This window comes from Homo sapiens, chromosome 11 (assembly GCF_000001405.40).
Source record: "Homo sapiens chromosome 11, GRCh38.p14 Primary Assembly".
NCBI lineage: Eukaryota > Metazoa > Chordata > Mammalia > Primates > Hominidae > Homo > Homo sapiens.
This window is the reverse complement of record NC_000011.10, coordinates 60,087,071-60,100,184: the sequence shown is the minus strand read 5'-3', so window position 1 is coordinate 60,100,184 and position 13,114 is coordinate 60,087,071. Positions and strand designations below refer to the sequence as shown.

The 13,114-nt window shown below is 38.8% G+C and overlaps 1 protein-coding gene across 5 annotated transcripts; it reads right to left on the bottom strand.

Moving 5' to 3' along the window:
- Positions 1,718 to 11,926, bottom strand: MS4A2 (membrane spanning 4-domains A2). Of its 5 annotated transcripts, none has more exons than XM_005273846.5 (8): positions 11,524 to 11,926; positions 11,364 to 11,435; positions 10,364 to 10,493; positions 9,715 to 9,849; positions 7,337 to 7,393; positions 6,627 to 6,785; positions 6,123 to 6,221; positions 1,718 to 4,627 (listed from the first exon to the last, which is right to left on the bottom strand). In XM_005273846.5, exons 1-8 carry the CDS (start codon positions 11,526 to 11,528, stop codon positions 4,529 to 4,531), a joined length of 756 nt encoding a protein of 251 aa, XP_005273903.1. In that variant the 5' UTR covers positions 11,529 to 11,926; the 3' UTR covers positions 1,718 to 4,528. The 5 variants fall into 5 exon arrangements, with proteins under 5 accessions (XP_005273903.1, XP_011543152.1, NP_000130.1 ...); XM_011544850.3 differs by having other exon boundaries at positions 11,861 to 11,926; NM_000139.5 differs by lacking the exon at positions 11,524 to 11,926 and having other exon boundaries at positions 11,364 to 11,521.

Here is a 13,114-nt window from a genome sequence, read left to right as displayed (position 1 = left end):
ATATCCATTTAAGAAACAGAAGAAAACTAAGATAGAATAAAATGATTGGCCAAGATCATACAGCCAATACCTAATATAGCTACTGCAATTTGCTTCTGCGTATATTGTATTCCAAAATCCACCATCTTAATAATCCATGACCCCCAATATTGTTCAACAAAACCCTATGCTGGAACTCCCAGATAGAGGCTATTTGGAGATGTAAGTTCAGCTCACTTAACTGTTTGTAGAGTGAACAGAGGTTTTCCAGTGGAGGGAAATACTCATGTAACACAGAGAGATACTAACGAGGGAGCCTCACACTCTGGGATATATAGATTTACCCCAACACTCTAAATCAAGTTACAATTAAAAATATGGTACCCTGTCTCATTAGTTGTTTATATAAGTAGATTCATGTCTATAGCGGGAATTGTTACCTATTATATACTTATAATGGGAATTATTTGGGAAATTTTCTTTCTTTTTTTATTTTTTATTTTTTTTGAGACAGAGTCTCGCTGTGTCACCCAGGATGGAGTGCAGTGGCGCAATCTCGGCTCACTGCAAGCTCCCGGGTTCACGTGATTCTCCAGCCTCAGCCTCCCAAGTAGCTGGGACTACAGGTGCCCACCACCACGCCCGGCTAATTTTTAGTATTTTTAGTAGAGACGGGGTTTCACCGTGGTCTCTATCTCCTGACCTCGTGATCTGCCAGCCTCGGTCTCCCAAAGGGGAAATTTTATTTCTAAGACAATTTTTAGGAAAAAAACCCTTTGATTAGCATTTTTCAGAGGGATTTAGAAAAATATTATTGTTGCAGGTGTCCTGCTACACCACACACTTCTTTTTTTTTTTTTTTTTTTTTTTTTTTGAGACGCAGTCTTGCTCTTTTGCCCAGGAGGGACTGCAGTGGCGCTATCTCGGCTCACGGCAAGCTCCGCCTCCCTGGTTCATGCCATTCTCCTGCCTCAGCCTCCCGAGTAGCTGGGACTACAGGCGCCCGCCACCACGCCTGGCTAATTTTTTGTATTTTTTAGTAGAGACGGGGTTTCACCGTGTTAGCCAGGATGGTCTCGATCTCCTGACCTCGTGATCCACCCGCCTTGGCCTCCCAAAGTGCTGGGATTACAGGCGTGAGCCACCACGACCGGCATCACTTCTTTACCCAAAGTGGAGAGCTACTCCTTTGAAAATATGTCCACCAAATAGTTCTGATTGCTGTTGCTATCTCAACCACAAACTAAGTAATTGTGATTACCAAAAATCCTAAATATTGAAAAATCACAGAATATGGGAACAGAAAGACCAGTTAGGAATCTTTTGTTCCAAATTTCTCATTTTCAGATGTAAAACCTGAGGTTCACAAGGAGAAAAAACTTTCTCAAGTTTACATAGCAAGTAAATAAGAGTGAGGACTGACTGGTCAAATATGACTCATGCTCCAGTTTCCTTTCAACTCTATTCCATCAATTATTGACAAAAGATGGCTGGTGATTGTCCCTACATTCTGTTTTCTGGCTATGGGTTGTTTATAGAGTGTGCTGGTGATTGTTCCTACATCCTGTTTTCTGGCTATGGGTTGTTTATAGAGTGTTCTGTTTGATAAAGAGCTGATGAAAAGGAGGACTTCAGAAACTGCTCTTGGTCTTTGGCATCATTTTATTGATGCCTTAATTCCCCATTATCTTTGATAAGTACCTAAATCTTGCATGCCAACACAAACACAGATAAGAAATCAAGTTACATTATTCCAATTTATTGCACAAATACAGGTAATTGAGAATACATAAGGAGGTCACAAGCACACTAATAATTAATGATACAATACTGCATCGTGGGATAGAGTAGTTATGGAGCAAGAAATTAAGGCTGGATGAAAAGGTGTTCATTCAGTGGTCTTCATGGAGAAGATGACATTGAAGTTGAAATTTAGAAAGACAATTTGGGGCAGTGATAGTGTGAAGAGAACCCCAGCATTGTGCTCTGTGTCTGCCTGAGGTGGGCATACTATAAAAGGCAGGTAGGGTGGGGCAACTCTCAGAATGATCTTGAGAAAAAATTCATAAATTGTGTGTTGTGTATAAGAAATATGTAGTCAATGATGAAAATATAAATTGAGTGAAATAAAAGAGATATCATATACTATACAACTGTAAAGATATAGATTGGATCCACTCCTAGAGGTCCTGGTAAACCAGGGTTAAGAGTCTGTATGTGAACATCCATGCCATGGAAGTGATGTGATTAATACCTACAGATGATCAAGAGTAGAGATGCAGCTTAGCATGATACACAGTGAAAGGGTAGGGTTTTTATTCTGCTGTCAAATTTGGAGAAACAAAATTGTATTTTAGAAAAATGAGAATGGAAAACCTCAGGCCCTACAATTAAATAAAGCATACCAAGTCACTTAATTATTTGTTGTGTGATTGTCGTGATCACTTTCACAATCTAGGGAAATTAACATCTACCTGTCACCTTTTAATCTTGGCATCCTCAATACATAAAATGTAATTATTTCATTAATTGTGACTAATACTCTCAGACTGATTTTTTTCAGTCCATCTGTAGGACTCTTATACTTAGGCTAAAAACATAAACTATCTTTTCCTTCTTTTATAAACAGAATTTTTTCTTAGCTTGCTTTTCTTCACTACCTTCTATTCATAATCAACTATCTTATTTCTCACATATGCTCCCATTCTCTTTCTCTAAAGGTCTTTGCAAATGTTTTATTCATTTACTCATCACAATACTCATGTGTGGAATTTCTCAGCACCTTTTGCATTCATTCACTATTGCTGTTTTCTCTGCCGCATATTCATGCCTTAGGTGGAGTTGCTTATCACTGTGGACTTTTCTCTTGCCCAAGCCTAGAGATACTGTCTCTGATGGATACTTATTTTCTCTTTATCTAATCTTTCTCTATTTTGGGCTACCTGCTCTCTACAGTTTCACAATGCATGTTTATGACTAATTATTGTATCTTCTAGGCTAGATTTTATCCTTAGTTTTTCCCTCCAATTATAGGCATGTGAAGTTTAGCTTAGCTTCACTTCTATCTCAAAATAATTCTCTTAGAGTGTTAACTTGCTTCATTTAATAATGATTTCTCTTATAATGACACCAAACCTGTATCAAATTTTATCTTTACCAGAACTCTGTATTGGATGTCATCAGGCCCTCTATGGCTGCATTTCCCTTTGTCTCCCCAAAATCAAAGCCTAAAAATGAGCTTAATTTAGGTCTATTTGTACTCTTCCTCCACTTTTCAGATTTCTGACTTTTTATCTTTTTTTTTTTTTTTTTTTTTTTTGAGATGGAGTCTCCCATTGTCACCAAGGCTGGAGTGCACTGGTGCGATCTCGGCTCACTGCAACCTCCGCCTCCCAGGTTGAAGCGATTCTCCTGCCTCAGCCTCCCAAGTAGCTGGGACTACAGGTGACTGCCACCACACCCAGCTAATTTTTTTTTTGTATTTTTAGTAGAGACGGGGTTTCACTATGTTGGCCAGGCTGGTCTCAAACTACTGACTTCGTGATCTGCCCACCTCGGCCTCCCAAAGGGCTGGGATTACAGGCGTGAGCCTCCGCGCCCGACCCTTTTTATCATTCTATCAACATAACCAGTGTTCTCCTTTCATCTTAGACTCAAACGCTTAATGTATTAGTCAACCAGTTGCTTGTCTAACTTTATTCTTTAATTTGTTAACAAAATCTACCAGTTACTCTTTTTCTACATGTTTTAGATATAACCATTATTTCCATTTCCACTCACTTTATTTCAGCTCAGGTCTTAATTTAGTCTTCTTTTTTCACAAATGTTTCACTAAACATTTGTGAAATGTTAATCTCTGCACTTATAATTTCCCTGTTTTTAACCTATTTACCTCCCCAGACAACGAGTAACTTAATAAAATTCCCCACTTCCTACTTGTCAATCTGCAAATAATATCATGTCAGTGAATGTGCTGGTGATTCAGGCAATTATACAGATCTTTATAAAACTTCATGTCTTGGCAAAAATGTATTATTGACTGGTGGTAAAATATTTGCATAGGAAGTTATATATAGTGTAAGTAATACATATGTGTGTGTGACTGTGACTGTGTGGGTATGGGTGGATGGTACAAATCATGCCCAACTGTAACTATTAAGAATGCTAAAAAAAAAAAAAAACCCTAAGAACCAAATATTATCAAACTGTCAAAGTTTAACTCAACTTTCAGCCAGCCTTCTTTTTTTCTGTATTTGCACAGTTATAATCAAACAGTTAAATCTTGCTTACTACATGTTGACTTTCCAGCAGAGATGTGTGTGGTCATAATATAAAACAAGAAAAATAGGAGTCTATCATATCTACAAATAGAAGGAGAATATTAAGGTGGACAGAAGCAGCAGAAACAAAATATTCTTATCAGGCGAATAAATCTAATGTAAAACCAGCAGGCTGTGGAGAGAATAGAAATTTTTCCAGTAGCCCCTTAACAAGACCTTGGCCTTCTGGATCCTTGGCTGTGAATCAGAGTGTTCTGGACACGTGATTCTTATAAATCAATGGGAGGAGACATTTCCCCTGGGTCTTCCAACTCACTGTAAGTAGCTGAATATATGTTTAATTCTTCATAAACACGATCCTCTGGAACCTGATAAGGGAAAAATCATTTCATATCAATCACCACAAATTTCCCATCCCTAGAAGTCTCGCTCAAGAGACTTACCTCATCTACTTTTGTCTTTCTGGGTCTCACGCTCTCTGTCATTAAACTCTGATTATTTCTTTCATTTCCAGAAAACCAAACCAGACTAGCTGGCCAAGTGGGCCCAAAAGAAATCATGTCAGTCAATGACAAGTTGGTGAGGTTATTCCTTAGTATATCTGCTGTCTTATTTATCTATCTTTGGAAGAGAGTGATTTTTTAAATTTCTTTTATTTTTTTTGAGACAGAATCTCACTATGTCACCCAGGCTGGAGTGCAGTGGCCACGATCTTGGCTCACTGCAACTTCCGCCTCCCGGGTTCAAGCAATTCTCCTGCCTCAGCCTCCTAAGTAGCTGAAATTACAGGTGTGTGCCCCCATGCCCCACTAAGTTTTATATTTTTAGTACAGACGGAGTTTCACCATGTTGGCCAGGCTGGTCTCCAAATCCTCACCTCAAATTATTCTTCAGCTTTGGCCTCCCAATGTGCTGGGAAGTATGGCTCTGTCACCCTGGCTGTGGTGCAGTGGCATGATCTCGGCTCACTGCAACCTCCATCTCTTGGGCTCAAGCGATTCTCCTGCTTCAGCCTCCCAAGTATCTGGAACCTCAGGTACCTGCCACCACGCTGGGCTAATGTTTCCTTTTCTGTTTTTGTTGTTGTTGTTTTGTTTTGTTGTATTTTTTAGTAGAGATTTGGTTTAAGATTTGGTTTTAATTGAAGATTTGGTTTTGCCATTTGGCCAGGCTGGTTTTGAACTCCTGACTTCAAGTGATCCGCCCTCCTCAGCCTCACAAAGTGCTGAGATTACAGGCGTGAGCCACCGTGCCCAGCCTGGAGGAGAGTGATTTTAAAAGGTGGCTAGACTTGAATGCCTCAGGAAAGTGGACAGATGGAGAGAGTATGTTTCTTCCATCAGACATGGGCAAGTACATGAGCACAAGGTGCTGGTGGTTCTTATCAAAGGTGTAATGGACGGGTGAGGCAAGTGGAAACATTTGGTAGTCATGAATCAGAAAGGAAAGAAAACTGAGGTTTTAGAGCAAGTTGGAAAGGAAAAGTCAAGAAACAAAGGAATAAAACAGAAACAGGAATAGGCGGCTACTTCTGGGGCAGAAAACAAGGCCAGATACCTGGGTGGTTTCCTCACAAGCCTTCTGCACATCCATCTCTCATGCTCCACACACTTTAAGGCATTTTCTAACATTATACAGATCCTATTATCCCAACCCTCATTCAGAGGGATATATTATGAAATGTGTGCTACTTATGGGTATAAAATGTGATTTAAAATGTGAGATTTGTAAACCAAAGTAATAAAACTTGGAGAAACTATTTTCTGGAAGAAATGTTTCAGAAAACCCAGGCCATATTTTTAAGGAATAAAGCTCCAATTCGTTAACCTGTCATTCAAGATTTTATATCGGGCTTCTATCTACCTTGTTTCCTTTGAGTTCTTCCCCAGCTCCACAGATTGTGAGTGACACAGCACTACCAAGTCCCAGAATGGTGAGAAACAGCATCATCACTACAATTTCCTATTGAACAGCAACAAATGACAAACAAAAAGAGTCACATGGTATTCGCCCCAAAAGTTTATTTTCTTATAGCATCTCCTGTTTTCATCTCCCTACCATCTGACCAGTCCTTTTAAAGTGACACATACACACACACACACACACACACACACACACACACAAACACAGGCACAGAAAAACCCAGAGATCGTCACTTGCAGTAGATAACTTTAACCCCGAGGAATTTGCCTGGGTTGAGGGGAGTGGGCAGCCAGCATCTCCCTGGGCTGTGTGAACTTACAGAACCACTATACTGTGTAATAGAAGTTACAGAAAAGGATGGTGTTCATGGAACAGGAGAAGAGGGCTTCTTACTTACATTAGGACCCAGAATCTTAGTCTTCCCACACAAAAAAAAATACATACAGTGGAAAAGGAAGCCATAAAGCACTTGGTCTCAAAAAATTTCTGGCAACTGTGGATGTGGATATAGGCCAAGCTCTTCTTCAGGTTGATGATCAGGATGGTAATTCCCGTTCCCCCAGCTATGCTGCTGGCAGTGTTTGCTCCCAGGCTTCCTCTCACCTGATAATAATGAAGAACACTCAGACCTGGGCCTGCACTTGCTGGCACATTCAATAAACCTATCTTCATTTCAGGGCTGGATGCATCCAGTAAATTCCACATTGCTTCCAAATTTTGGTTAAAAAGGGAAACCCTGAAAATGTCCGCATTGTTTAATGAGCATATATTACTTTCTCACTGGACTGCCTTCAGGAACCACATGAACACGTACGGTCTTTCCTCAAATATTCTCCTTAATTGAAAACTAATTATTTATTTGATCATGTGAATATGCCTACAAGGACAATGCCGGTGTGAGGACACTTTTTTTAGAAGAAACGTCAAGGTAAACATAAACTTCATTGTATGTTAAATGGTACAATTTATGTTTCTAATGATTATATCCAACTTCTGTTGCAAAAAGCCTTAGGACACAAAATAGATTGAAACAAAATCATATATCCACATTCACAAGTAATATAGGAGACAAAGATGTGTTTCCCTTAAGACTCTTAAAACTCTGTTCTTCTTATCTTTTCAAGGATGGACAAAGACAGAAACGGGCAACTCACCAGATATGTTGCATTTCTCCTTTCAGATATAATTGACAACATTCCAGAAATAGAAAACTGTTCAAAAAGGAGGAAAAAAAAGCCACAATGAGTTTCTTGTTTTCAATGTGTCCTTTTTAACCCCATCTTCCAAACATAGGTAACATTTGGGGTACTCGATAAAGTTACTTATTAATGTCACCTGTGAGCCCAATATTTTCTTATTCTTATTTTCTATAGAGTGCTTCTCAGAATTAAATGTGTATACGAATAAGGCTGGGTGTGGTGGCTCATGTCTGTAATCCCAGCACTTTGGGAAGCCGAGGCGGGGGAATCACCGGAGGTCATGAGTTCAAGACCAGCCTGACCAAAATGGTGAAACCCTGTCTCTACTAAAAATACAAAAATTAGCCAGCCACTGTGGCATGCACCTGTAGTCCCAGCTACTAGGGAGGCTGAGACAGGAGAATCACTTGAACCCGGGAGGCAGAGGTTGCAGTGAGCCAAGATCATGCCATTGCACTCCAGCCTGGGCGACAAGAGTGAGACTCCATCTAAAAAAAAAAAAAAAAAGTGTATATGAATCATATGAGGGTCTTGCTAAAATGCAGATTCTTATTCATTAGGTCCTGGATGGAGCATGAAATTCTTCATTTACATGAGGCTTCCAGGAGATGCTAACCCTGACAATGCAGGGGTTACTCTTGGAGTAGCAACGTCCAGCAACATCAGGGCATGAATCGATTAGACCACCACTCTCATTCTATTGCAATCGTCTATTTGTATGTGCGTCTTCCATCAGCCCCTTTAGGCAAGAAACACGTGTCTGTGGCATGCATATTTCCAGAGTCTGACATATATCATGTGAATATAGAGTAATTATGAAAATGTACATGATGATATTTTTACCAAACATTTACATATTTGATATAAATATAAGTCAATAGCACAAATTCAAAGCAATCTCCTAAAGACTCAGATTGTGAGTTTGATGGGTTGAGAGACACCTCATAAGCTGTGTTTGAAATAAAAAGACAGTAGAGACAAGTTTCAATTATAACAGAGGTACAGGTTCAAGGAGAGTCCTGAACAAGTCATCTGAGCACTAAGGATTTAGCAGACTACAAAGTCAATGTGACATAGTCTAGAATTAAAATATATTCTTGTGAATGAAGTATCGATATAAAGAAAAAACTTGAAGAATCTCAAAATAACTGTGCAGCGAAGGAAGACAAACAGTAAAGAGAACATACTTATATAAAGCTCTAAAAAATGTAAGTTAATTTATATTCACAGAAAGCAGATCAATGTTTTCTTGGGAACGAGAGGACAAGGAGTGGAGGGAGGAAGAAAGAGTTACAAAGATACACAGGGAAGCTTTTGGAAATGATGGATACATACATTGTATTAATGTGGTGATGTTTTCATGTGTGTCTATGTGTGTCAAGGTTAGCAAATTGTACATCTGAAATACTTGCAATTTATTATATGTCAATTAGACCTTTAAAAAGTTATATACCTTATTATCTCACTCATCCACCTATTTTTCCAGATAGAACGATGAGTAAAAGAGATACCAGGAGAAAATACCTAAAAGAGTTTCTAGGGCATAGAAGGTCACCATATGCCCTTTGATCTTAATGTTTCTCACCCCAGCAATCTCTTTCCTCATTTTTCATGAAGACAACTTTATTTTCTATTATTATTATTATTATTTTGAGACAGAGTTTCGCTCTTATTGCCCAGGCTGGAGTGCAATGGCACAATCTCAGCTCACTGCAACCTCTGCCTTCCAGGTTCAAACAAGCCTCCTGCCTCAGCCTCTTAAGTAGCTGGGATTACAGGCATGCACTATCACACTCAGCTAATTTTTTATATTTAGTAGAGATGAGGTTTCACCATGTTGGTCAGGCTGGTCTCAAACTCCTGACCTCAGGTGATCCACCTGCCTCAGCCTCCCAAAGTGCTGGGATTACGGGTGTGAGCCACCATGCCCAGCCTTTGTTGTTATTTTTAGTTGACAGATAAAGTTGTATGTATTTATCATATAACTTTATTGATGAATAGTGCTAGAAGTATGTTCCTGGAGTTGGATTCTGAAAGTTTAGGTTCAATTACTATTAGTCAAGTGGCCCTTAGGCAAGTCATTTAACTTGTATTAGATTCAGGTTTCTCATGGGATAAAACTGTGGGCTAAATGTTTAACCCACCGTTAATTGTAAAAAGAATCTTTTGTTGTTGTTAATGAGCATATCTATGTTATATATGCTCACATATAATTTATAATTAAGAATTATAAATATCATGTTAATACTGGGAATAAACAACTGGTTAGATCTGAGAAAGAGAAAAACCTATGTTCAGTGTTATTTCAGAAACAATTATAGATATATACTCACAAATATGGCTCCCCAGAATGGATAACCTGCTTTAAATGATGAAAAAATGTCTCCCTCAATGTGTGAAATATCAAGTACAGAGCAGACAACTGTTCCAAAACAAAGGCATATCATAGCAGTCAGAATTTGTGTTACCTATAGAAAAACACATGAATTTCATGAAAATCAAAAAAATTTTCCCGAGATTGTATCATTTTTTAATAATAGAAGCCAAACATGAGAAACTGCGTTAGTGTCCTAGACTGTCCTGAGAAATGATCCACACGTAAGATTTTCCAGGATACCCTAGCCACTATAAGAATTGATACAAGCACTACCTAATGCATGGAAGGCCAATACTTTTCTCCATGCGCCTTTATGTACGTAGTCATGTTGAACATCAGTAATTGTTCTTTACATCTAAGTAAAGATAAAGATTATGAATCCTTCACTCCTGTTGGCCATTCTCGTCCTAGCAATTTAAAGTCTTTATGAGGAAATGCTTCTCTCTTCCCAAAAGGACCCAGTTAGTGTCAACTCTTTATCTACCATGTTTTTTAAAGGACCTAACACCTCTCATGAATCCAAGTGGGAAAACAGTTGATGCAACTCAATATTCTTTTCTAGACCCAACCCTTACTCTAGTCAAAGTTGGAGGAGGCTCACTCACCCCCAGGAACTCCTGCTCTTTTTTCAAAACTGTCAGCCATGTATGCAGTGGTGGGGATGAGGCCGACTTCAATAGTCTGCCTGAAGATACTTCCTGGGGAGATATTTCCAAGACTTCAAATGCAGGCACACTGTGAAATTTAAAAGCAATTCAGTCATGAGAACATTCTGTAACTCCCTGTGCAACATTCTCGACAGACAGAAAGGGGAGTTTTGTTTATTTTTTCAAAGCCATCCTGTAATTCAAATCTTCATTGTAATCACCAAGAAACTAAAGCTCAGAGCATCCAAGTAACTGACCAAGAACACCTGAACACTATCCAAGTGATTAGATGGGACAAAATGGAGCAAAATCCATGCCAAATTTTCCTATTCTTAATCCAGTGTTACTTTCAAGTTCTTTCTCATTCATCTATGTTGACAAGTAAAACTGAAAATAAACACATTTACCTATGCATCTCACAATCCTTTTAACATAGAAATGTATCTGAATATATTTTGTCAGTAACAAACCCCAACTTCATGTGCACAGAATACAATGAAGGAATGGCTTTGAATAGCTAGATGGGACTCTATTACTATTTTCATCTTCAGAGAAGCATCCCACAGCTTATGGATTATAAAGACCAATCAAGAAGCAGGTTACTTTATCAAGTATTTATAAAAGCATGTGTGAAGGATATGTGTCCCTCAGCACATGTCAGACCCAGAAGCCAGAGATCTACATACACAGTATGAACTCTCCTGTCTCATACCCAGAAAATGAGCTTCTAATGTGAGAAAATCTATTTCCAGTTTGCAAGCTGAGTAAAAATGTTCCTCTCCAGGGAGAGAGAACCACATGGAAAGTACAGCAAGTAGCTTCCTCATACCCAATATATTAATTAAACTAGATGGATCCATGCCTAAATCAATAAAGTTTCATCTCCTAAGCACCGTGACTATGACTTCCCCTGCCACTAAGTGACTGAGGGTAGAAAAAAATAATACCTTGTACCTACCTGGAAGGCTCCTGTGGGAGAGCAAGATTTGCTCTCCTATTACTTTCTGTGTCCATTTTTTCATTAACCGAGCTGTCCAGGAATAAAGAATATTATTATATTGAGACTTGGTGGATTTCCTCTTACTGCATGCTCTGAATAGGCAGTTGAAATGGGTTACCTCATGACATTGATGATTCTCTTTATACATAAGTCATTTGCCAGACAGATAAGTTTCTTGGCTGATTAAGATCAACAGGCTTTTACTTGTGATGAATAGAAAAATTAAGAAGTCTACTAAATAAAGACTAATATGAAATAAGAAAATTTGAGACTCCTGGAGCATAATTTTGCCTGAGACTAGCAGGATTTACAGAACCTGAAAATGAGACATTTTAGTAGGAGTTGAGAAGGTGAGAAAGAACTGCAGAAAAGAAAGAGATGTGCCCTTCTTCTGGAATTGTCCCCACTTGTGTCCCAATTCAGCCATTTCTATGGCAGAAGTTATCCAATTGCACCTTTGAAAAGCTTGTCTTCCTTGTTTAAGGCATGCTTGGTTTCACACATAGACCCAAAACTGAAGTGCTGTTGTATGTGAGTGAGTATGTGTTAGTCTCTAAATCTCCAGATCCATCTCTGACTTTAATATCTATCATCTTTCTCTCTCTTTCCGTCTTTTGGAAACTGTTTACATGATTCGCTGCAGCAGATGGTCTTGGAAATACAACAGGCTGCATTCTAACTGCTGTGAACCATACCTGATAGTGTGTAAAAGCTAAGAAGACTCCATTGTCTGCTAAATTATTAGACTGATGGTGCTTAGATCTTTACAGTGGCAAGAATGGGATAGTGAGAACACTGAGAGACATGAACTTTATAACAAATCCCATGAGCAAATCTAAACAGCATTGGATTGAGTAGTATGCCTAAATTAGAATTAGGGCTAAACCATGTGATCATTGAAATACCATAACTAGCTAGACCATAGCAAAATCAGTACAGATAAAATTCAGAGAAGGTTTTAATCTCTTTTATTTCAGTTTAATTATAAACATAACCTTGAATGGCTTTCAATAATATTTAAGATACTAAAAATCACACCTCTAATCATGTGTGGTTTTTTTGGTGGGGGTGGGGGGTGAAAAAGAAAATCTTTTTGCAGGAAACTAAGATATTTGCATAAACAGAGTATACTAAAAGACATATTGGTATAGCTTTTGTATCTAAGTTTATTAACTCAGGTGTCATCTTCCCATGGTGTCTTCAGGAATTGGTGGACCTAAACAAGGTGCTATTGGAATTAAGGAATAGAACTTTCTCACTTATACGTTCATCCAAAAAGAACTTAGTGTTCCATGCCAGGCACTGCCCTTATCACTGTGCATGCACAGATGAATGCCAAAATCCCAGGTCCTTCTAGTCCACAATCAAGCAGAATAGAACAAAGATAAATGATATATTATTACCCAATATGTTGGAGGCCAGAGGATGTTGGAACACATAGAAGGGTAAAACAATTCTGCCTGATAGGGGATATGTAGAGTTCAGGGAAGGAATTCCCAGACAAGGTAACATTTGAGAGCAGACTTAAAATTAAAATGATAGCCTCGATAATTTTCTATTTTCTTTTTTTTTCTTTTTTTTTTTGAGACAGAGTCTCACTCTGTCACCCAGGCTGGAGGGCAATGGCTCACTGCAACCTCCGCCTCCCAGATTCAAGCAATTCTCCTGCCTCAGCCTCCCAAGTAGCTGGGACTACAGGAGTGTGCAGC